The 25,104-nt window shown below is 40.0% G+C and overlaps 2 protein-coding genes across 6 annotated transcripts in view, besides 3 other annotated features; both read left to right on the top strand.

The window, feature by feature from the left end:
- PSMA1 (proteasome 20S subunit alpha 1) overlaps window positions 1-19,052 on the top strand; it is a 138,787-nt gene extending 119,735 nt beyond the window's left edge. Inside the window, exons 1-10 of one of the 3 annotated variants that reach the window (NM_002786.4) lie at window positions 3,542-3,631; window positions 4,887-4,931; window positions 5,947-6,048; window positions 6,183-6,286; window positions 9,437-9,525; window positions 10,041-10,111; window positions 10,229-10,358; window positions 12,977-13,056; window positions 16,162-16,272; window positions 18,680-19,052. In NM_002786.4, the coding sequence (NP_002777.1) occupies window positions 3,629-3,631; window positions 4,887-4,931; window positions 5,947-6,048; window positions 6,183-6,286; window positions 9,437-9,525; window positions 10,041-10,111; window positions 10,229-10,358; window positions 12,977-13,056; window positions 16,162-16,272; window positions 18,680-18,736 (792 nt within the window). In that variant the 5' untranslated portion in view covers window positions 3,542-3,628 and the 3' untranslated portion in view covers window positions 18,737-19,052. Of the gene's footprint in view, window positions 1-3,541; window positions 3,632-4,886; window positions 4,932-5,946; window positions 6,049-6,182; window positions 6,287-9,436; window positions 10,019-10,040; window positions 10,112-10,228; window positions 10,359-12,976; window positions 13,057-16,161; window positions 16,273-18,679 lie in introns of those variants that run through there. The other 2 variants (NM_148976.3, NM_001143937.2) reach the window with 2 other exon arrangements.
- Window positions 3,135-3,749: an enhancer, noted in NCBI's record as "NANOG-H3K27ac hESC enhancer chr11:14541725-14542339 (GRCh37/hg19 assembly coordinates)". NCBI's record gives its function as "activates a minimal SCP1, AML or CMV promoter by ChIP-STARR-seq in primed H9 embryonic stem cells {active_cell/tissue: H9 hESC(primed)}" and the evidence as "EXISTENCE:reporter gene assay evidence [ECO:0000049][PMID:30033119]".
- Window positions 3,411-3,600: an enhancer, noted in NCBI's record as "active region_4475". NCBI's record gives its function as "activates an Ori minimal core promoter by ATAC-STARR-seq in GM12878 lymphoblastoid cells {active_cell/tissue: GM12878}" and the evidence as "EXISTENCE:reporter gene assay evidence [ECO:0000049][PMID:35858748]".
- Window positions 23,896-23,995: an enhancer, noted in NCBI's record as "active region_4474". NCBI's record gives its function as "activates an Ori minimal core promoter by ATAC-STARR-seq in GM12878 lymphoblastoid cells {active_cell/tissue: GM12878}" and the evidence as "EXISTENCE:reporter gene assay evidence [ECO:0000049][PMID:35858748]".
- COPB1 (coat protein complex I subunit beta 1) overlaps window positions 24,117-25,104 on the top strand; it is a 42,300-nt gene continuing 41,312 nt past the window's right edge. The window contains exons 1-2 of one of the 3 annotated variants that reach the window (NM_001144062.2): window positions 24,117-24,186; window positions 24,943-25,090. In NM_001144062.2, coding sequence (NP_001137534.1) covers window positions 25,000-25,090 — 91 coding nt within the window. In that variant the 5' untranslated portion in view covers window positions 24,117-24,186; window positions 24,943-24,999. Of the gene's footprint in view, window positions 24,320-24,942; window positions 25,091-25,104 lie in introns of all 3 variants that reach the window. The other 2 variants (NM_001144061.2, NM_016451.5) reach the window with 2 other exon arrangements.

Below are 25,104 nucleotides of genomic sequence, written 5' to 3'. Positions count from 1 at the left end.
TGATCAGTTTTTCAGCTTCTGATTAATGCTCAAGATGTATCTTGAGGCCGGGCATGGTAGCTCATGCCTATAATCCCAGCACTTTGGGAGGCCCAGGCAGGAGGATAGCTTGAGTCCAGGAGTTTGAGACCAACCTGGGCAACAAAGTAAGACCTTGTCTCTACAAAAAAAATAAAATTATCTGGGCATGGGGGTACTTGCCTGTAGTCCCAGCTACTTGGGAGGCTGAGGTAGGAGGATCACTTGGGCCCAGGAGGTCCAGGCTGAAGTGATTGTGCCATTGCACTCCAGCCTGGGCAACAGAGAAATACCCTGTCTTAAAAAAAAAAAAAAAAAATGTATCCTGAGAGCTGAGGAGCTGAGTATGGTGGCTCACTCCTGTAATTTCAGCACTTTGGGAGGCCAAGGAGGGAGGATCACTTTAAGGCCAGGCATTCATGACCAGCCTGGGCAACATAGTAGGACCCTGTCTCTACAAAAAATTTTAAAATTAGCCAGGTATGGTGGTGTGCACCTGTAGCCCTAGCTACTTGGGAGGCTGAGGCAATAGGATGGCTTGAGCCCAGGAGTTCAAGGTTACAGTGAGCTATGATCATGCCACTGTACTCTAGCCTGGGCTACACAGCTAGACTCTGTCTCTAAAAAAAAAGTTGTTGTTGTTGTTGTTTTTAACGATGTATCTTGAGCCAAATCCCCAAAACACACAAAGAGGAGCTGAAAATCATATAAACCTTTAATAAGCCCTTGGGACTTTCATTCTTAACAAAAAGGTCAACCAAATGCCCCTTCTTTTGGTCTACAAGTAGAGCTTTGATAACAGCCATTCTGAAGAGTACAGACAATTGCTGTGAATAAAGGATGTATCGCAAAGCCCCAGATATTTGCTTAGGAAATAATTATCAGAAGGACAGGTTTGGAGTGATAGATCTATCACTCATTCATTCAACAAATGTTTAGTGAGTGCCTACTATATGCCAGGCTTTGTTTCAGGTACTAGGAATATCTCAGTAAATTTTTAAAAAGTCAAAAAATTATGTTTGGATATTTATGTGATTCCCTGTTGCATATTTACAATGTGTGCTTCAACTTTTATTTAAACTAGATTCAGTGGGTTTCTTTTATTTGTATCCAAAAGGCCCTTTCTATAAAAGTGACACAGTAATAAGAGGTTACCATCCCTAATTACAGGAAGCTCCTACAAGTCAGTAAGAAAATGATTAACACAATAATATGAGGAAAGGAATGAAGTGGCAATCCACTAAAGTAACATAAACAGCCAAGAAATACAACAAAAGATTTTTTTACTAGTAATAAAAAACTATAAATAAAATTAAAAATTAAAGAAACAGGTTTTCTTTTTTGGCCTATCAAATTGATAAAAGTAAAAAGTACTTATAATATCCAGTGTTGGTAAGAATACAGAGAAAACTGACTCTCAGGCAGCGTAGAATATTAAATGGATATAACTTTTTTTGCAACTCAGCCATATTTATCATAACTGTAAATGTAAGTTCCCTTTGACCCCACAATTCTACTTCTATGAATTCTTCATCAGGTAAGGTAATTATGCACACAATAGGTGTGTATGTACAAGAATATTCATTATAGTATTTTTATGATACCAATAACTTGGAAACAATTGAATTGCACACTAATAATTAAGCAAATTATTATATTTCCATACAATAAAATACTATGCGACTATTGAAAATAATATAGACCATTACTTATGGACATATGATAGCTATAACTTTTTAAGTGTATTAATAAAAACAGTATCATCTTATTTTTAAAAATTGTATATTTATTACACATCTGTGTGAGGCATGTGACTAGAGAGATATATATGGAAAGAATTTTCAAAATGTTTATGTAGTATATGACAATTTTTAAATGAGCATTTATTTAATCAGTTAGCACTATTTATAAACACTTAATATGTGCTACGCATTGTGCTAGGTCCTGGAGAAACGAAAGAGAACAATCTATTAATTTAATCTGTTAATTTAGTCCACCAAATCAACAGTGTTTTTCAGAAATACGACAATAACCAGTGTTGATGAATTAGAGAAGGTAACCTCATATACTACTGTTGAGAGTATATGTTGGTAAAACATTTCTGGAGAACAATTTAGTACTTTGTTTTTTGTTTTTTTTTTTTTGAGATGGAGTCGCACTCTGTCGCCCAGGCTGGAGTGCAGTGGCACGATCTCAGCTCACTGCAACCTCCGCCTCCCGGGTTCAAGCGATTCTCCTGCCTCAGCCTCCTGAGGCACGCCACCACGCCCGGCTAATTTTTGTATTTTTAGTAGAGACGGGGTTTTACCATGTTGGCCAGGATGGTCCGATCTCCTGACCTCGTGATCCACCCGCCTCTGCCTTCCAAAGTGTTGGGATTACAAGCGTGAGCCACCGCGCCCGGCTTTTTTTTTTTTTGAAACAGAATCTCTATTGCCCAGGCGGGCTGGAGTGCAACGGCGCGACCATGGCTCACTGCAACCTCGATCTCCCTGGCTCAAGAGATCCTCCCACATCAGCTTCCCGAGTGGCTGGGACCACAGGCCCATGCCAACATGCCCAGCCTTTTTTTTTTATTATTCTTATTCTTATTCTTATTCTTATTATTATTGTAGCGACGAGGTCCCACTGTATTAAAATAATATAGTGATCTCAAACTCCTGGGTTCAAGCGATCCTCCGCCCTCGGCCTCCAATAGCGCTGGGATTACAGGCGTGAGCCACCACACCCAGTCTCTTTTTTACAAAGAATATAAATAGCCGGTGGATGTCAGACTATTTCGTTATGGAAAGATGCTCTCAAAAGACGAAATAGATAAATCGAAAGAAAGTGTCCATTTTTTCTCAGTGGCCTAATCTGTCAGGTACCATGCTTGGTTTTGGGGGCATAGAAAGACATTAGCGCCCTCATGGAGTTCAAAGTCTGGTGGAAGAAATCAATCATAATAACAATGAGGGGTTAACGACAACAGACCCTTGAAAGATAACATCTCCAGGGAATAAGGAAGAGCATTCCAAAGTATTTTGCCAAATGGCAAAAACCGCAGTTACTTTTGCACCAACCTTAATGCAAATAAAAGCATGTACACAAACAAGATACTCGAGGAAGAATACAGCTGACACACAGAAACGGATCGTTATCTTGTGGCTTTCCTGCAGCCTCGTTCCTTTCAGTCACATAACACCCCAAATCTGTGGACGGTTAATGAGAGCTAGTATCACCCAGAGTCACGGCTGTTGACTCGGACGACTTTAGATGCAGCCCGCCAGCGGGAGAAACTGGAGGGAATCCGCCATACACAGGAACCTAGAAGGGCTACGTGACAGGGGCTGCCCCGCAGCTCTCAGCCGCCGGCACTCCCAGCCAGGTTTTCCCGCCAGTCTCAGTTCCTAGATCTTCCGAGGCTCCGCCCGCCGCCGAGCGGTCGGAAAGTTTTAAGGAGGGGGAAGTGTTGCAAGCCTATCGATATCTCTGGAATAGACTGCGCTACCCTGCGCCGCCGCCGTCAAACTCCCGCAGACTTCTCTGTAGATCGCTGAGCGATACTTTCGGCAGCACCTCCTTGATTCTCAGTTTTGCTGGAGGCCGCAACCAGGCCCGCGCCGCCACCATGGTACGTTGAATCCCGATCTCTGGAAGGTTTAGGGCAGAGCTCTGGTGACTGGGGGATGACGAGCCACCTCTCCTGTCATCCTTAGCGTCGCCCGGTGCCACGAGGTATGAGAGCCTCGGCAGACGGCCGGGCTCCGGCAGTGATTCAGCATCTCCGGCCTGGCCGGGCTAGGGGTTATCGGTAGCCAGTGCGGCCTTTCCACCGCTTTCGCTTCCCGGGGAGCCTCCGACACTTCCTCCTCGGTCAGCTAGATGAGTTCGCCCCTCAGGTTCCTTCAGTGGAGTAGATTCTGAGCGGTCCAGAATAGCTCCTAGTGCTGTGTATGGGAGAGGAGAAGACAGAGACTTGACTTGGAGGCCTACCTGTACCACCAGTGCGGACTTGACCCCCAGGTTTGTGTTCCTGGACAGCGTCCGTTTTCCTGGTGGGTCCGTCTATTTATCTCTCGCCTAGACTTCGATTAGAAGAGGCCCTTTTCAATCATTTTGTCCAGTCACCTAGTTGCGGATGAGTAAGCCGAGGCTGAGAGGGGAAGTGATGGAATCAGGGTTACAATATAGGGTTCTGGGTTTCCAGTTCTGTCTGCCATTCTAGCACTCAATCTCACTCCCATGACTATTATTATAATAGTCGTAATAGCCGTAATGGTTCTATCGCTGCAGCTATTTGTGTCCACCTCTAACTTTGTGAGGACATTTTTGTTCATTCAATGTGAATATACAGACAGCACTTGTACAGGCATAACTACAGTGAACATTAAAAAATAAGTCATACATGTCCCTAATCATAAAAACAGAAAGGGACGTTTAGATAAAGAGCTGTGGGAGTATATGTTAGGGGGATTTGGGAAGAAAAGGAGAAGACTTCAAGAAATCGACATTTAAGCTACCTTAAAGAAAAGGAAGACTTTTAACCATTTATTAGGGCCCAATAAAAGGGAGCAGCATAAGCAAAAATAGGCAAGAAAGTTGATTGTGAACTTTAGTAATTGAGCCTAAAGGGGTTGATATGGAGGGTGTTAGAATAAGAGTTTGGAAAAATAGGACCCATTTAGATCTGCTTCTCCCTCTCCCACGAGTTTATGGTAAATGTAGAATTGGCTTACATCTGAGTACAGTAGTAATCTTCCAGTAAGACTGCATGAACAGAGTGCCTTAACATTGAATGGAAATACAAGCATATTTCTTAATGAATGTTAAGAGTTGGGATTTGAAATGTTCTTCTATTAACAGGTATTTTTTTCTTTTACTTTTAGTTTCGAAATCAGTATGACAATGATGTCACTGTTTGGAGCCCCCAGGTAAAATAATGTTTTTAAACCTTTTCTGTGAAGTGGCTTTTTGTGGCTGCAATATATTTAGAAACTTGTGAGAGCGTAGGCTTGGGGAAAATGGAATATAATTATTTTAGACGTTCTTGGAAGTTGCATTTATAATTAAAATAGGTTTCCTGATGGACCTAGAGGACATTATGTTAAGTGAAATAAGCCAGAAACAGAAAGAAAAATGTTTCATGCTCTCACTTATATGTGGAATCTTTTGTTTAAAAGGGCAAATATATATATAGAGAGAGTAAAACAGTGGTTACCAGGGTAGGGGGTGGCAGTGGGGAGGAAAAAAGAGGAGATACAAAGTAGCAAATATGTAGGTTGAGCAAGTGGAAAGATCTAATGTACAACATGAAGACTACAGTTAATAATGCAGGTAGTGTTTTGTATTCAAGATTTTTGTTAAATGAGTAGTTTATAGCCCTTGCCACAGCAGAGGAAAATGGGTAACTATGTGAGACAACGGATGTGTTCATTCTGCGATAGTGACCCTACTATATATGTGTATCTTATAACATCATGTTGCATACGTTAAATATACACAAGAAAATTTATTTTAAAAGAAGCTTTCAGCCGGGTGCAGTGGCTCATGCCTGTAATCCCAGCACTTTGGGAGGCCAAGGAAGGTAGATTGCTTGAGTCTTGGAGTTCAAGACCACCCTGAACAACATGAAACCCGGACTCTACAAGAAATACAAAAATTAGCTGGGCGTGGTGGTGCTTGCCTATAGTCCCAGCTACTGTGGACAGTGAGGTGAGAGGACTGCTTGAGCCTAGGAGGCAGAGGTTGTACTGAGCTGAAGATTGTGCCACTGCACTCCAGCCTGGGTGACAGAGTGAGAACCTGTCTCAAAAAAAAAAAAAGGTCTCTTGATTAAAAAAAAAATCAGTTGAGATTTAACTGTGCTCACCTGATATTTGAAAACCCTAATTTTTAATTTATAAAAGATCTTCTAAGATGTGTGTTTTTTGTTTTTTTTTTCTTTAGGGCAGGATTCATCAAATTGAATATGCAATGGAAGCTGTTAAACAAGGTTCAGCCACAGTTGGTCTGAAATCAAAAACTCATGCAGTTTTGGTTGCATTGAAAGTAAGTACAGTAATAAATATGTCTTCCTCTGTAGAAAACAATGTAAATTTCACCATAGAAAATAAGGTTGTAAACTTATTTTTACATTTGTCTCTTTTTTTTTTTTTTTTACATCTTATAATGTCTCTATTTAGAGGGCGCAATCAGAGCTTGCAGCTCATCAGAAAAAAATTCTCCATGTTGACAACCATATTGGTATCTCAATTGCGGGGCTTACTGCTGATGCTAGACTGTTATGGTAAGTATAATCATGAAAAATAAACATCCTTTTTGTTTCATAATTGATTAGTTTTCTCAAAAAGATCCAGATAAGGTATTTTAGGAAGTTGTCTGCCAAAGTTCTTGTAAATTAAGATTATGAATACCTTGGTGGTTTTGAGTTTGTTATTAAATTTTCCATTTTTTGATCCCTGTAGGAGTAACTAATAAGATTAAACATTAGCACTTTTCAGAAGTCACTGAGTAATGTGATGTTTGTTAATACAATGTATATCGTTTGAGACCCTGTTATGTCTAAGAAGAACGTGATACTTTTGTCTGGTTTCTAAGGACAAGCTGAACCACACTTGTTTTCTTTGTGCTTGTTTTCTTCAATACATCAGTATTTATTAGACATTTATTTTTTGCAATGCTCAATACTGGATACTGCAGGGTATACATAAGTGACTCAGACATGGATCTTGTCTTAAGGGAACTTGAAGGCAAGTTTATCTATAAACTCAAATGTAGTTTATCTATAATATAACAGAAAAATTTCTGTGAGAGTCTAGAAGAGACAGATTATTTATGGTTAAAAGGCAATACATAAATGAAGAGATAGGGCTTTGAAATTGCACATATTGAGTTCTCACCTTCACCACTTAGTATCTGAGATTTGGCTAAATACCTAAACACTGAATTTTTTCCAGTGTTTTCTTTATCAAGGCTATTTTTAAATGTTATTTATTTATTTTTTTGAGATGGAGTCTCACTCTCACCCAGGCTGGAGTGCAGTGGTGTGATCTCAGCTCACTGCAACCTCTACCTCCCAGGTTCAAGCGATTCTCCTGCCTCAGCCTCCCGAGTAGCTGGGATTACAGGCACCCGCCACCACGCCTGGCTAATTTTTGTATTTTTAGTAGAGACGGGGTTTCGCCATGTTGGCCAGGCTAGTCTTGAACTCCTGACCTCAGGTAATCTGCCCACCTCAGCCTCCCAAAGTGCTGGGATTATAGGTGTGAGCCACTGCACCCAGCCTATTTTTAAATATTTTAAATTGCCTACTGTAAACCACTAACACAGAGCCTTTCAGGTATTATGTGAGTATGTGTGTTGTGGATGGCAGGTAGTTAGCTAAAACTAATCTTGTAAATTTGTGATTTGATTAGGAAAGAAAGAATATAAATTATAAGGGTGGGCCTGGCACAGTGGCTCCTACCTATAATTCTAGCTCTTTGAGAAGCTTAAGGTCAAGAATTTGAGACCAGGGCAACATAGTGAATCCCCATCTCTACAAAAAATTTTAAAACTTAGCTGGGTGTGGTGGCACACACCTGTTGTCCTAGCTACTCAAAAGGCTGAGGTGGGAGGATTGCTTGAGCCTAGGATTTCAAGGTTGCAGTGAGCTATGATAGTGCCACTGTACTCTAGCGTAGGCAACAGAGTGAGACCCTATTCTTTTTTTTTTTTTTGAGACGGAGTCTCGCGCTGTCGCCCAGGCTAGAGTGCAGTGGTATGATCTCGGCTCACTGCAACCTCCGCCTCCAGAGTTCAAGGAATTCTTCTGCCTCAGCCTCCCGAGTAGCTGGGACTACAAGCATGTGCCACCACACCCGGCTAATTTTTGCATTTTTAGTAGAGACGAGGTTTCACCATATTGGCCAGGCTGGTCTAGAGCTCCTGACCTCGTGATCCACCTGCCTCGGCCTCCCAAAGTGCTGGGATTACAGGCGTGAGCCACAGCACCTAGCCGAGTGAGACCCTATTCTTAAAACAACAGCAGCAGCAAAAACAGTGTAAATAGTAATGCTATGGTTTAAGAATTTCAGGCTGAGCATGGTGTCTCATGCCTGTAATCCCAGCACTCTGGGAGGCTGAAGCGGGTGGATCACCTGAGGTCCGGAGTTCAAGACCAGCCTGGCCAACATGGTGAAACCCTGTCTCTACTAAAAATAAAAAAATTAGCTGAACGTGGTGGCAGGCACCTGTAATCCCAGCTACTTGGGAGGCTGAGGCAAGAGAATCGCTTGAACCCAGGAGGCAGAGGTTGCAGTGAGCTGAGATCATGCCATTGCACTCCAGCCTGGGCAACAAGAGCGAAACTCAGTATTAAAAAAAAAAAAAAAGAATTTCAATTTACTCAGCCAGTCCCTTGCTCTAAGTCAGCAATATAATGACAGCCTTAAGGGTTTCCACCTACTCTTCAAAATGGAAAATGTATTATATTATCAAACATTTTATTTAACCCAATCTATAAAATATTGCCATGCCAACACATAATCAATATAAAAACTTTATTAATGAGTTATTGCACGTTTTTAGGTACTAAGTCTTTGAAATTTGGTATGTTATTTTGTACTTGGTGTACATCTCAATTCAGTCTAGCTACTTTTCAAGAGCTCCATAGCCACATGTGATTATTGCCTGCCATATTGGGCAGTATACTTTTAGGCAGCATTGGGAAATGGACTTAAATATAAGTACTGAACAAATAGCTTGGTTCCTGTAGTCAACCATGTGATGATCAGATGTGACATACGCATATACTGGACAAAGCAACATTGAGAAAAAGGAGCATATCCATTTCTTGTTTATCTTATTTATAGGCATAAATTCTCTTCTCCCCAATGTTAACCTTGCTTGAATTTCATCAGATTTAACAGTGAGACTCAGCGGCTAGTGTCCAGTATCTCCTCTAGAGTGCTTCTTATGAATAGAAGTAACAGTGGCAGAAACACGTAAAGATCCCCCCTGCTGTGTTTTCCATTTCTTATATTTGCTCTTTTGGAGAAATGTTAGTCTGCTTTCAAGAAAAAAGGACAGAGTAGATAATCTTTTTGCTGGTTCGAGATCTAGAATTACGACAAGCTTGCTGACAGTGGGAAGGATAAGAGAAGAGAGGTTGCTGTTTTTCTTTTGTTCAGCCTTCTCTTCTCTGTTCCATAAGTGCTCTGATACAAAGATTTTCTAGAGCTAAAAAATGTTTCAGTCTTTTTTAAAAACCTTATGTGGCTCCAGAGTTTAGCACAAAAACGCACCCTTGCAGGCATGTCTTTCTTACCTTCTGTTTTTCTTATATGGATGTTATCCATGTAAACGCTTGGAAGAATTTGAAGTGAAATCAAACAATTTAGATTGGAATAGTTGTCTATAATTTGAAATTACTAAACTTTTTTTGTTTCTTTTTTAGTAATTTTATGCGTCAGGAGTGTTTGGATTCCAGATTTGTATTCGATAGACCACTGCCTGTGTCTCGTCTTGTATCTCTAATTGGAAGCAGTATCCTTTTTATGTTAGCATTTATGGATATGAACTTTGAAGGGTTTTGATACTTGTGTTAATTATTAGGAATATAATAATAATATGACATAGGTAAGATTGTGAAAACTTTAAAACAACAAATTGGATTGCTCTTTCATTAGCCTTTATAAGCAATTTATATTTGCTAGACACAAATAAGCCCAACTTCAGGAAAATCATCTAAGCATCTTTTTAGAGGGGATTTAAAGTTTCTTAATGGTTCTAGATGTCCCAAGAAATCCTAGACCCCTTGTATCCAAAACAAATCAGGTTTTAGATGGGAAGAAATTATTTTGCTGGCACTCTTTCTTAGGTTCGGTAGAAAGTCAAACATTTTATATTAGGCCAAAGAAATAGTGTCCTATTGCATTATTTCTCTGGTGGATTATGCAACAATTAAAGAATAAGCCAGAGACCTTTGTTAATAATGTATAATTTGAAAATAAAGACAGTACTTCATTCCTTGTTAAAACAAGCTCGTTAACCAGTCTAAGAGACCCAGATACCAACACAACGATATGGCCGGAGACCATATGGTGTTGGTCTCCTTATTGCTGGTTATGATGTAAGTTCATTGAATATTGTTATATGTTAATGATTTTTTTTAATTAACTAGAAATTTTTATAATTTTTAGTTCAACCAAAGTAAATAATTATGTGGTGTATTTATTTCTATTTGTAGGATATGGGCCCTCACATTTTCCAAACCTGTCCATCTGCTAACTATTTTGACTGCAGAGCCATGTCCATTGGAGCCCGTTCCCAATCAGCTCGTACTTACTTGGAGAGACATATGTCTGAATTTATGGAGTGTAAGTGACAGCCTTGCTTTTTTTTTTTTTTTTTTTTGCCTTTTCCAGTCTATATAGTAAATAAACATAGTATCCTAAATGCATAAAACTGTAAGTCTTATAGAAAGAATTTTTTTAAAAAAAATTATGCCCATGAAGAGTTTATTGTTTCTGTCACATATACTAATCTTAACTTCTGGTTACCACAGTAGTTTCAAGCACGAGTAGAACTTTTTCAAAATATAAATGTGTTCCCAACCTTGAAAATTCTTGATTCATTTGGTCAGAAGTGTGCCCTGTGGAGTGGAGAGTGGAGAACCACTGTACTACCTGCCAGTTGTAAGCTCTGTTCACTTTTAGTTTTCTGTGAGTCTTTTGTTATTTTAAGCCACACAGACATTTCTGCATTAGTAGTCCATAAACAAGAAATAAAAAGGCAGTGTAGTTGAGGGAGAAGAAGGTAAAAGAGGTAAGATGTTATGACAGGACAGGTTTTCAAGTGCTTTGCTTTGCATTGGAAGGAGGGTATCGGGTTTTACATTTCTCTTTGTCATCTTATCTGTTTTCTGGTGACAAAGCATTCTTTGGAGGAAATATTTGGGGTTTAGTGAATGCAGAGAAAAATAGTTTAATTGACATTACTCAAAGCAAACTTGTGGGATGACAATAGGTTTAACTTTGGGAAAAGAGGATTCCTTGGACAAATAAGCTTGGTAAATGCTGGCTTAAAGTTTAACATTGTAAATTATGGTAAATGGTTTGGGGTCCCCAAGGTTACCCCTAAATTTGGAGATATGCTAGGACTTAAAGCGCACAGCATATAGTTGTACTCCCAGGTAAGACTTTTAACAATAAAATAACAGTACATAGGTGGATCATTAAGGAAAAATACAGTCCAGAGGAATCTATGTGCAGGCTTCCTTATGCTCTTTCCTTCCCATAAGGAGTCACAGAGTACACTTGCAGCAATATGTATGTGATGTTTCTGCCCAGAGAAGCTCATTAGAAACTCAGTGTCCAAAGTTTGGTTCAGAACTGCTCATATCAGCACCCTCTGCCTAGCACATTTCAACCTGGATAGGAAATTCCTAAAGATTGCAATAAATCTATAGATAATTTTGGGGAGTACTGCTACTTTGATGATACAAAGCATCTGATCCATGAACATGGAATATCTTCATTTATTTAGGTATTTAATTCTTTTTTTTTTTTTCCTGAGACGGGGTTTCACTGTTTTTGCCCAGGCTGGAGTGCAATGGCGCGATCTCGGCTTATTGCAACCTCTGCCTCCCAGGTTCAAGCAATTCTCCTGCCTCAGCCTCCTGAGTAGCTGGGATTGCAGGCATGCGCCACCACGCCTGGCTAATTTTGTATTTTTAGTAGAGACGGGGTTTCTCCATGTTGGTCAGGCTGGTCTCAAACTCCCGACCTCAGGCGATCCGCCCAACTGGGCCTCCCAAAGTGCTGGGATTACAGGCGTGAGCCACCACACCCAACCAGGTATTTAATTCTTTCACTGATGTTTTGTAGTTTTCAGTGTACAAATCATATTTGTCTTAAAGTATTTTATTATTTTTGGTGCTGTTGTGAACAGAATTGTTTTCTTAATTTCATTGCATATTATTCATTGCAACTATATAGAAATACAGTTGATTTTTATATATCAATCTTATATCCTGCAATCTTGCTGAACTTGTTTATTAGTTCTAGTCATTTTTTTATAGATTCCTAAGATCATGTTGTCTGGGAATAGAGATAGTTTTACTTTCTCCTTTCTAACTGCCGTGGCTGGAACCTCTGGTACAATGATGAATATAAGTTGCATGAACAAACCTTCTTTTTTTTGTTCCTAAACTTAAGGGAAAAGGTTTTAGTCATTCACTGCTAAGATTGATGTTACCTGTCAGCTTTTTGTAGATGCCCTCTATCAGACTGAAGAGGTTCCTTTCAATTACTAGTTTGTTTTGTGTTTTTATTATGCAAACATTTTAGGTTTTATCACGTGCTTTTTATGCATCTCTTGGGGTGGTTATGCAGGTTTTCTCCCTTCCTTCAGTGTAACTGAAAATTACACTGACTTTCAGTTGTTAAACTAACTTATTCTTGGGATAAATCTCACTTGTATATGGTATATAATTTTTTTAATGTGTTGCCAGGTTCCGTTTGTAGTTTTTGTTGAGGGTTTTGTTTTGTTTTGTTTTGTTTTTGCATCTATATTGGGTCTGTAGTTTTATTTTCTTGTGATGTTTTTATTCTTGTTATCGGTAATACTGGCCACATAGAATAAGTTGGAGATTCCTTTTTACAATGAGCAAATATAAGGACTAGGATTCTACAGAACACATTCTACAAAACTTGGAGTTGTATAATTTATAGTCGGGATTTTGATTTGACCTAGCAAAAGAGAAGATCAAAATCGTAACAAAAATCATGAGTCCTCTCATTAAATAAAATAAGAATCAGCAATGTCATAGAATGCTATTAAAAGATTATATGACTAGCATTAAACTTGGCTGTTTTTACTGTGATAAATTTAGTGTGTAACTAAAAACCACAATTTGAGACTGTAGATTTGATAAATAACAGAAGCCTAGCATAACAATGAAATTAAGAAATAATTGTTAATTTATTACATATAGGTAATTTAAATGAACTAGTTAAACATGGTCTGCGTGCCTTAAGAGAGACGCTTCCTGCAGAACAGGACCTGACTACAAAGGTAAGTATTGTCTTTTCCAATTGTAGATATTAACGTTACAGTTTAAACCTTTATTGCATAAATGTAATGGAGTATATATGCAACATTCTGTAATTTGGGATATGATTGTCTTGGCAGATTCTTTTCCTTTAAGCTATTTGCTAAGTAATCCAATTTTATTTTTTAAACATTTCTTTTTGGTACAAAGCAGTAAAACCAGTAAATTTCATGCAAAATGTCCTTCATTATTTTCAGCAGATTGGCATATCTTGGTATTATTTAGTTAACAAAAATATATATATATTGAGCACCTACCATGTGCAGGCACTTTCTAAGCATTGAAAATACAGTAAACACAACAAATAACTTTTTCTTCATGGAACGTACATCCTAGTAGGGAAAGATAGACAGTATATACATAAGTACATTATATAGTATATTAGAAGAAGATAAATGCTATGTAAAAAATAAAAAAGCGTTAAAAGGAGAAAGAATGACCAATTGGATGTAGGTAGGTGTAATTTAAAATAGGTGGTTGAGGATATTCTCACCAAGAAAATGAAATTTGAGGAAAAGATATAAAGGAGGTAAGTGAGTATGAGCTATGCAGATCTAGAGCAAAATTATTCTAGGAAATACAAATGCAAAGGCCCTAGTATTTAAGGCAAGGAGGCCAGTAGTGTTGAGGTCAATCATCGAGAGGAAGAGGAAAAGGGAAGAAATCAGAGAGGTAATGGAGGTCCCATAAGCCATTGTGGTTACTCTGCATTTTACTCTGGGTGGGCTGTTAAGAGTTTGAGCAGAGGAATACCATGATTTGGTTTAGGTTTTAAAACAGTCACTCTGTTTGGCATTTTAACGACAGATTGAGGCTGGGCGCGGTGGCTCACGCCTGTAATCCCAGCACTTTGGGAGACCAAGGCAGGTGGATCACGAGGTCAGGAGATCAAGACTATCCTGGCTAACACGGTGAAACCCCATCTCTACTAAAAATACAAAAAATTAGCCGGGCTTGGTGGCAGGCGCCTGTAGTCCCAGCTACTCGGGAGGCTGAGGCAGGAGAATGGCGTGAACCTGGGAGGTGGAGCTTGCAGTGAGCTGAGATTGCGCCACTGCACTCCAGCCTGTCCAGCCTGGGCGACAGAGCGAGACTCCGTCTCAAAAAAAAAAAAAAAAAAACAACCGGTTTGTGGGCCAGCCGCAGTGGCTCACGCCTGTAATCCCAACACTTTGGGAGGCTGAGGTGAGTGGATCACTTGAGATCAGGAGTTCGAGACCAGCCTGGCCAACACGATGAAACCCTGTCTCTATTAAAAATACAAAAATCAGCCGGGCGTGGCGGTGCATGCACTCCAGCCTGGGTGACAAAGCAAAACTCCATCTCAAAAAAAAAAAAAACAGATTGTAGGGGTAGATAGATAGTGGGGCTATGGGTAGAAATAGTTTTAAGGCTATTCAGGTAATTATGTGAGAGATGATAGTGATTGCAGCAGAGTGACAGAGTTAAAGATGAAGAGTAGTGGTTCAATTTTGGATATCTTTTGAAATTACAGCCAAAAAAGTTTGCTAATAGATTTGTTATAGGGTGTGAGGGGGGAATGTCTCCAAGGTTTTGGGCCTAATTAATTGGAATGAAAGATTTATGATTTACTGAGGTGAAGAAGATAGTGGGAGGAACAGGTTTTAGAGTAGGCGTTGGGGAGGAAGGTCAGGCAGTCAGTTGCGGACATGTAAAATTTGAAATGCCTTTTTGTCTAATTGACGGTACAGAGTAAGCAGTTATAAGCAACACGTGGAGTTCCATGGAGAGTGGTCCAACCTACATTTCAAATTTTTGAAGTCTTTATATAGAAATGGCATTTAGAGTCTGGACTGGAAGAGATTCCTAAAGGAATTGAATAGTTAGACAAGCATTGTGAGGACTGGACCAAGAACACTAACCTTTAGCAACTGGGAGATGAGTTAGGTGTTGGCAAAAAAGACTGAGAGAGGTGGTCAAAGAAGTAGGAGGAAAACTTGGAAAATGAGGCATCTTTGGAGGCAAACGAATAAACTTTCAAGGAGGAGGGGCAATGAAGTTGTCACTGAGGACCTGACAAAACAGGCTTAATGGAATAATAAGGCAAAAACCTGATAGTGGAATCAGGAGAGAATGGGAGACGAGGAATTGCAGATAGCTTTTTGGAGGATATTTCTGTTGACGGTCACTCTGTCACTCTGCTCCAATCGCTATCATCTCTCACATGAATTACCTGAATAGCCTTAAAACTATTTCTACCCATAGCCCCACTATCTATTTACCCCTACAATCTGGGTTTTTTTTTTTTTTTTGAGATGGAGTGGTGACTGGAAGAGGAGAGAAATAAATTGTTTTGTTTTTTAAGATGGAAGAAATTACATCACATTTGCTGCATGATTGTGAGAGTAATCCAAGTAAATTTAGGGAAGCATTTATGAGGAAAAATAATGAGAAAATTGTTAGAACAATGTCCTTTAATAGTACATAGGTGGAAGGGTTGGCCTTAGGAAGTTTTAATGGGAAAGGAGAGAATCTAGGGACATAGGTACAGGAAAGAGTGGATACAGTGGGAACTTGTGAAAGTTCTCTTCTAATTGCTTCTGTTTTCGCAGTAATATAGGAACAAGGTTTTCAGCTTCAAAGAGCTTGGAGAATGTTAGAAGTGTCTAAAAGAAGGGGAGCATGAATGATGTAGAAATGGGTATAGTGGGATCCAGGAACCACTAAGGCCTACTTGAAGTTAATGATCATTAATAAAGTGAGATTAGTCAGTTTTATAAAGCCATTTTGTTATGGTGATTGGATAATTATTGTTTAATATCAATGTGAAGACTTTATAGCCTGCATTATCTTTTTAAAAAAATGTTTCTAGATAACATAGATCTTTGGAGTTACTCATGATAATCAAAAGTTAGTATTAATATTAAATCTGCAAATGACAAGGGTCCACTAGTTTCCTTCTTTTTTCTCCTACACATAAGTGGTTTTTAAGGTTTTATTCAAATGCTATATAAATTCTTATTCTGCTTTTTTCACCCAATATTTTATCGTATGTATTTTTTCATCCAAATTCTCTTATTTTACTTTTACCATATTTTACCCTTCAGAATGTTTCCATTGGAATTGTTGGTAAAGACTTGGAGTTTACAATCTATGATGATGATGATGTGTCTCCATTCCTGGAAGGTCTTGAAGAAAGACCACAGAGAAAGGCACAGGTATATAATCATAACACAAGAGGCTTTAGTTCTATTGTAAGCTGCTGTTCTTACCACAACTGTGTCTGTAAATTTTCCATTTTGTCTTAAATATTGAAATGGGCCCATAATTCAAATGGCAACAGGAAAATTAAGAACTGAGTAAAGTTAAATATTGAAAGGGCAGTGATCTCCATAAACACAAAAAGGGGGCCGGGTGCGGTGGCTCATGCCTGTAATCCCAGCACTTTGGGAGGCCGAGGCGGGTGAATCACGAGGTCAACAGATGGAGACCATCCTGGCCAACATGGTGAAACCCCGTCTCTACTAAAAATACAAAAATTAGCTGGGCGTCATGGCATGCACCTGTAGTCCCAGCTACTCAGGAGGTGAGGCAGGAGAATCGCTTGAACCCGGGAGGCGGAGGTTGCAGTGAGCTGAGATCCTACCACTGCCCTCCAGCCTGGGCGACAGAGAGAGACTCTGTCTCAAAAAAAAAAAACAAACACAAAAAGGGAGAAGTGTTGATTATTTGGTTATCTATTGCTAGGTAATAAGCTACCCCAAAACTTAGGGGCTAGAACAACAAACACTACTTCTCACAATTTTGCGGCTGACTGGGGCTCACCTACATGGTTCTTTGCTGGTCTCACCTGGGATCTCTCAAACATTGCAGTCATTTGTGGGGTGCAACTGGAACACCCAAGATAACTTCAGTCACATGTCTTCTTTACTCACACCTTTTAGGTGTCTTAGAGGAGCATCTAGAAGGCAGAGACCTCTGCTAGGATGACTGAGCCTCTGTCCACGTAGTTTCAGGGCCGCTTCTTCAGCAGGGTCTCTCTAGCATATTGGCAACTCAGGGCTTGCAAAAGTCAGAAGTGAAAGCCGCCAGGCATTCTTAAGGCTGAGATGCAGGACTGGCACAACATCACTTGTACACATTCTGTTGGTTAAAGTGAGTCACTGGCCTGGCCCAGATTCTGTTTGAGCAGAGACTGGGAGAAATGCTCATTGGGGGCCAGCTTTGGACACTAAGATGGCTCTTCATAAAGAGAAAAGCATCAAGAAGTGAATCTCAGGTGAAATATGGGTCTTTTTGCTAGATGTTTAGAATATACATTTGCTATTTATAGATGCTTATTTGATAGCAGTGTAATTGAAAGTAAAAAAGAATCTAGTATGGAAATTTCTACAGCATGAGTTTTTTTAACTTGGAAAGGATATTGTTGGTACTATTTGGGGGATCAAGATTTGCAATATTTAAACTGTTTTTGGTAAAAACTAGCACTGTTGGGAAGAATGCTGTGGAATACCACAAACTAGTTTGGCAAAGGGGAAAAGAATGTCTAAAAAGTGCTGATTGTATTTTAAACATAGTAGTGATAATACAAGGAAAGCTTTTATTCCTGAGCAATGCAAAGTACGATAAAATGGTGGAATTGTTCAATGATATTTAGGTTTTCAGAAATGTGAAATTATATATACAGTTATCCTCGAACAGTGTGGGGTTTAGTGGTGCCAAACCCCAGCATGGTTGAAAATCCACATATAACTTTTGACTCCTAAAAATCTTCTGATAGCCTGCTGTTGACTGGAAGCCTTACTGATAACATAAACTGACAATTAACACATAAATAGACTAGTTTCTTTTTTGTTGTTTTTTGAGACAAGGTCTTGCCCTCTTGTCCAGGCTGGCGTGCAGTGGTGCCATCATAGCTCACTGCAAGGTTGAACTCCTGGGCTCAAGCGATTCTCCTACCTTCCCCCGCGCCACCAAGTAGCTGAAACTACAGGTGTGTGCCACCATGCCCAGCACATTTTTTTTCTTTTTAGTAGAGATGGGATCTCACTGTGTTGCCCAGGCCAGTTTCAAACTCCTGGGCTTAAGCAATCCTCATGCCTCAGCCTCCCAGAGTGTTGGGATTACAGGTGTGAACTGCTGCACCCGACCAAATAGACTATTTTCTACATATATTTTATGCATTCGGCATACCTAACTTTTTCTTACTCTTTTTTTTTATATTTCTAGGCTACACAGTTGGTCTGCTAGTTTATATTTATTGGAAAACAAACAAACAAAAAAAAGCTTCACCCTAAACAATGTTAGAGTAAAAGCAAACAAAAAAGAAAAAGAAAAAGAAAAAGAAATCTGCATATAAGTGGACCCTCACTGTTTAAACCTTTGTTGTTCGAGCCAACTGTATTTTTTTTAAATAAAAAATCTTTATTCCCTCAAATCATGAGCACTCAAGGAGAAAAAAAATACTGCTCAGAAATGTTAACAGGACAGTGAACTAAAACTGAGTATTCAGAATATCTCTTTACCCCTTTTTCTCAATTTTTAATAACGTAATATTTGTGATTAGATGTGTATATTGATCAAGTGTTCATTTTACATATTTTCTTTTTTTCTTTCCCTGTTAAGCCTGCTCAACCTGCTGATGAACCTGCAGAAAAGGCTGATGAACCAATGGAACATTAAGTGATAAGCCAGTCTATATATGTATTATCAAATATGTAAGAATACAGGCACCACATACTGATGACAATAATCTATACTTTGAACCAAAAGTTGCAGAGTGGTGGAATGCTATGTTTTAGGAATCAGTCCAGATGTGAGTTTTTTCCAAGCAACCTCACTGAAACCTATATAATGGAATACATTTTTCTTTGAAAGGGTCTGTATAATCATTTTCTAGAAAGTATGGGTATCTATACTAATGTTTTTATATGAAGAACATAGGTGTCTTTGTGGTTTTAAAGACAACTGTGAAATAAAATTGTTTCACCGCCTGGTATATTGGGTTTTTGTTTTTTTAAGTAGCTTCAACTCTATATAGTAGTCTGGGATTACAACTGGTCATTTGCCTAATTAAATTGCCTTATTTTTAGTGATGGAGAAAAATAATACCTCTTATCTGTCATAGCCTTATAACAGTTCTCCAGTGTATGAACTGGCTGCATGAGAATCCATGGAGATTTGGTTTAGAATACAAATTTCAGGGTTCAACTGTGGTGATTTTAATTAAAACTTAAGAAACCACCACTTCCTGATATAAGCATCAGTTATCATATGAATGGTTTTCTTTCCAACCAGCAAATGGCAGTAGTTGTAGCTCTGGTCTTTGAAGGGAACTTCTGTAAAAACAACACATGGGAAATTGTAATCCCAAACCTTTTATCCTCTCCAGCCCCACTCCAGCATGATCTTTAGGCTGCCTTCTGTTATTCCCATGAGTGGCATACTCAGGTATTGCAGAACCATTTTTATCTTAGACCATGTAAACTGAAATTAGAGGAAATCTGATTTAAAAAAAAAAACCATAATCCTGGCTGGGCGTGGTGGCTCATGCCTGTAATCCCAGCACTTTGGGAGGCTGAGGTGGGCGGATCACTTGAGGTCGGGAGTTCCAGACCAGCCTGACCAACATGGAGAAACCTCATCTCTACTAAAAATACAAAACAATTAGCTGGGTGTGGTGGCACATGCATGTAATCCTAGCTACTCAGGAGGCTGGGGCAGGAGAATCGCTTGAACCCAGGAGGCAGAGGTTGCAGTGAGCCAAGATCGTGCCATTGCACTCTAGCCTGGGCAACAAGAGTGAAACTCCATCTCAAAAAAAATTTTAATTTAATTTAATTTTTAAAAACCCATAATCCGGCCAGGCGCGGTGGCTCACGCTTGTAATCCCAGCACTTTGGGAGGCCGAGGCAGGCGGATCACGAGATCGGGAGATCGAGACCACGGTGAAACCCCGTCTCTACTGAAAATACAAAAAATTAGCCGGGCATGGTGGAGGGTGCCTGTAGTCCCAGCTACTCGGAGAGGCTGAGGCAGGAGAATGGCGTGAACGCGGGAGGCGGAGCTTGCAGTGAGCCAAGATCGCGCCACTGCACTCCAGCCTGGAGCGAGACTCTGTCTCAAAAAAAAAAAAAAAAAAAAAAGACAAAAACCATAATCCAAAATTTGGCTGCTGACATCTAGAGGAGTTATTTTATTTTCTGAGATAATACATCTTTCTGAAGAAAAATTCATTTATAGATAGTAACCCATTTTAGACCTAATTCTAATTAGCTGCTATTGGCTTTGGGCAAGTTACTTAGCTCTTTTTTAAGGAAACCCTTTGGAGAATTATAGTGAGGGTTAAAAGGGAGAATTTATGTGATAACACCTTTTAAACTCTAAAATTCATAGTTTATTTTTTCCCCCCAACTTTCCCAAATCTTCAAAAGCCTTAGTAGGTTTAAATCCCCCTGATTTCTTAGAGAATGGTAAAAGTAGCTCTGGGAGCCTTATTAAGGGAAAGATGTCTAAGTACTGGAATGTGAGAGATGTCAGTTTCTCCAGCAGTAGCCTCAGGAATCTACCATGCAAGCTTGGGAGTTAGACGCAAGTACCATGTGGCTATTTGACCTACAGTGGAGTTGCATCAAGCACATGTAACTTTCCACACACATACACACACACACACACACACACACACACACAAAATAGTGAACTCAGGAACTCCCACCTGCCTCTACACTCAATGGGTATTTAGTCTGGGGAGGGAGCATAAGTGGGAAATATAATAATCTGCCCTTTGCTTAGGCAGATCTCTCTTCCACATGCATTCCATTGGGTGAGCCTCTGTCTTTGCTGAATGATTCTGCTGTTTAAAGATATTGTGGCTCATACCTGTAATCCCAGCACTTTGGGAGGCCGAGGCGGGTGGATCACCTGAGGTCAAGAGTTCGAGACCAGCCTGGGCAACATGGCAAAATCCCGTCTCTACTAAAAATACAAAAATTAAATGGGCATGGTAGCACGCGCCTGTAGTCCCAGCTACTCGGGAGGCTGAGGCAGGAGAATCACTTGAACCTGGGAGGCAGAGGTTGCAGTGAGCCGAGATCATGCCACTGCACTCCAGCCTGGCCAGGTGACAGAGCGAGACTCTGTCTCAAAAAATAAAACCAAAGATATTGTTATGTTTATCATTGTGGAACATGCACCTGTTCCACAAATACAAACCACTAGTTGGCTTGTATTCAGCTAAAAAAATAAATATTCTGTATTATACTTTGGGAGCAATTTAAGTAATTTTTTCAATGTGATTTTTAGTCTTATATACTGACTTTAGAACTTAAAGTCCTCCCCACTCCAGTAATACTCAACCCCACTGTATATACAGTTCATTGTGATGCCCTTTCATGTTTAGTCTGTTGTACTCACATATTCCATTTAGTCTGTTGAATAATTACAAACAGTAAAATCCTAATGATGTTTTATAAAGCCTGTCACTTTGATACAAAGATACTCAATTCACCTGGAATTTATTGAGCATGTATGTGTGCAGCTCTGAAGAACTGGCATGGAATAAAAGGCAGTGGCTGGGTGTGTTGGCTCACGCCTGTAATCTCAACACTTTGAGAGGCCGAGGTGGGAGGATTGCTTGAGTTCAGTTCAAGACCAGCCTGGGCAATATAGTGAGACCCCATCTCTACAAAAATTTTTAAAACTTAGCCTGGTGTGGTGGCACACACCTGTGGTCCCAGCTACTCAGGAGGCTGAGGTGGGAGAATCACTTGAGTCCAGAGTCTGAGGCTGCAGTGAGCTATGATCATGCCGCTGTACTCCGGCCTGGGTGACAGAGTGAGACTCTTGTCTCAAAAAAATAAAAATAATAACGTAGATGACAGGATTCAGGTCCTAGTTCTAACTCAGTGTTTGGCCATTACATGATTTGGGGCAAGTCCCTATTCTCTAGGCCTTGACTTTTTAGATACCACAATTTCTATGGTCCTTGATAAAATGACAAGGTCTTTGCTCTGCATTTATAATTTAAAGGCATTCAAAATTATATAATTACATCTTAGAGTAAAACAGCCCAAACAAAGTGTATTTTACAACAGATCAGGAAGAGTTAATGAGGTTAATATTAAGGTCCTTATACCCATTCAAAAAGCTTTGTACTTAAGAATATGGAAAAATATATGCACTGCCAATGACAATTGTAGGTTCAGATCTAACTAAAGTAATATGTAAAACATTACATTTTCTTGCCTTTTCATATTTAGAACTTAATGACTTGGGGTCATGAGAAACCTCAAAGTTATTCTGTAACAGAATGAACCTCTGGGGCAAATGAAGTCTGTACGGTTTAAGTCCTACACCATGATGGCCCTAAACTGAGCTTTCTTACTGTAAATCTAGTTTTTATACCTTTTTTGGCCTCATTTCTTGCTGACAGATTGTCACTTTTTGGTAAGTTAAGTGGGCTTGGAAACCAGATAACTGCATTTGTAAAACTTCCATGTTAAAAACGAATACACAGAAAAGGAACAAACTGTTGTACACACACCCGGGATTGATCTCAGGGGAATTATGCTCAGTAAAAAAATCCAATCTCAAAAGATTACATTGTATAATTCCATTTATATAACATTGAGATGATAAAAATCATAGAGAATTATTAGTGGTTGCCACAGGTTAGTGTGGGAGGTGGCTATGGCTATCAAAGGACAGCATGAGAATCCTTGTGATAGAACTGTTCTGTCTCGACTGTGTTGGTGATTACACACATATAAGCATGATAAAATTGTCTACAAGTGAATATAAAAACGAGTACATGTAAAACTAGTGAAGTCTGAACAAGGCTGGGTGAATTATGTCTGTCAATTTCCTGAAATTGATATTGTACTATAACTATGCAAGATGTTACCATTGGGAGAAACTAGGTAAAGAGTATATGGGATCTCTGTATTCATGTCACTCTACCATTAAGATTAAATATTAAAAAAAATGAATGCACAGAATCAGAGAGGCACTCTTAAAGTGCTGTCAACACATGGCCTTTGAATACAATTTTGGGTGCTCAAAGAATTTGTAGATTGCTTGATGGTTCTAAAAAGAGAAAGCTCAAAAGAGCTAGATCCTACATAAATGAGGTACTATTGGTGTTCCATCTTCCTGAGATGAACCTGTTAACTAGGGCAGTTGCCGTCAGATCTGTTTTTATTCGCAGTATTTTGCTTAAGCTTTAAGATATTTTGTTATTAATAATTGGCCATAAAACCCTTTTGTGGGCAGAGGGAGGTGTAGGGGCGGGGCGTGCTATGGAACTTCAAATGGGCAAAACCGAAAGTACTATGGCTGATTGCAGCTGTAACAGGTCTTTGGAGATACGTAAAATCCTTTAAAACAGTGACTGTCTCCCTTTATGCATAAAAATTTTTTCTAATCTACTGGGTGCTCAGAAAGGATCACGGAAAGAGGCCATTATTAAATAAAAAGCAGAAATTATACCAATGTGACTTTGGATTTTCAAATAACTCCAGCCCTACCTGCAGAGAGGCAGATTCAAACTACTAGCGATGTTAAGAACTGAAATGGATTTTAATCTAGTGATAATTAATAAAATAACTGAATTACCTTCCCAATAGTATTAGTTACTTTCCCAGTTTATTAGGGTGTGGACAAGAAAAAGGATTACTGGGTTTCCACTTTCTAGTCCAGAGCTCTTTTTCACGGGAACAGAGCCCTGTAAAAGTTTCCCTCTCTCCAAGCACTTTCTCCCCTTGACTGTTCCTGAAGAAGGAACGATTTCCAGTTAGCGTTTAAATTAGCATAGTGCTTAACTCAGAGCTTGGCTTGCAGGGAAAACTAGAAAATACGTGGTTTCATTGCTCTGCGGCCTAATCAAACCCTGGACAAGAGAAGAGGAAGAAAATAGGATATACTTGCAGCGCGCAAGCGCTGCACAAAGAAAGCATGTCCTCTCTGAGTCGCCGTAGGTGCTAGGTGGCTGTGGCTTCGGTCGTTACCCCACCCCCTTCCACGTCAGCCAAGGACTCTGGAGCCGCCGCCGCCGCTGCTGCGGTTCATAGCCGGAGTAGACGGAGCCGCAGTAGACGGATCCGCGGCTGCACCAAACCACTGCCCCTCGGAGCCTGGTAGTGGGCCACAAGCCCCCAGTCCCAGAGGCGTGGTGGGTCGGGCAGAGTCGGAAGAACTGGCTTTCTAGCTGGAAGATGCGGAAGGGGAGCGACTAGGCCGCTTGCGTCTGGGCCTGGCAGAAGGGACCGGGTGGGGGTACGGGTGGGGGTGCGGGTCGGGGTGGGGGCGGAGGGCTAGGAAGCTCCGGGTCGGACGCTCCATCCCGTCCTTTGTATTGGCCGGGGGTCTTTTCCCTCCCAAGACCCCTAGGCGTACCCTTTCAGGCCTAGGGCTGCTTTGCTGGAGGAAGGGGAGGAGGAAGCGGGTGGGGCGAGGTGGGGGTGCAGCGCGTTGATTAAGGGACCCGCGGACATAGAGTCGGAACCCACCAAGGACCGCGATAAAGCGCTTTAGGGTTTTGGCAGAGTATTCAGGCACAAGGTCTCTTAACTTGAGCATGCAGATTGTGTGTTGTGTAAAAACCATACGGTCCATAACATTGTGGGGTGTGGCTGGGGGGACTGTCACTGTTCTGTGGGCCTTCATTCGGCTATACAGCATTCTCAAACACTGGACCGGGATGCGATGAGGGAGTGATAGATAATATACCTTATGCCAGAGCTGATAATGTGGTTTTTACTAGAATTTATTTTTATGGGAACACGATATAGATTGACCTGCCCTTTCTAATACTTTAAAAGGTCACTATAGGTACTTGTTTGTGGGTTTTTTTTTTTTAATTTGTAATGATATGTCTGTGTTTATTTTTCTAGATTTTCTGGCATCCTTAAATCTTGTGTCAAGGATTGGTTATAATATAACCAGAAACCATGACGGCGGCTGAGAACGTATGCTACACGTTAATTAACGTGCCAATGGATTCAGAACCACCATCTGAAATTAGCTTAAAAAATGATCTAGGTAAACTTCGATAT

The sequence above is a fragment of the Homo sapiens genome, chromosome 11 (genome assembly GCF_000001405.40).
Source record: "Homo sapiens chromosome 11, GRCh38.p14 Primary Assembly".
In the NCBI taxonomy this organism is placed as follows: Eukaryota; Metazoa; Chordata; class Mammalia; order Primates; family Hominidae; genus Homo; species Homo sapiens.
The sequence above is the reverse complement of the archived record's forward strand: the minus strand, read 5'-3'. Positions and strand labels throughout refer to the sequence as shown.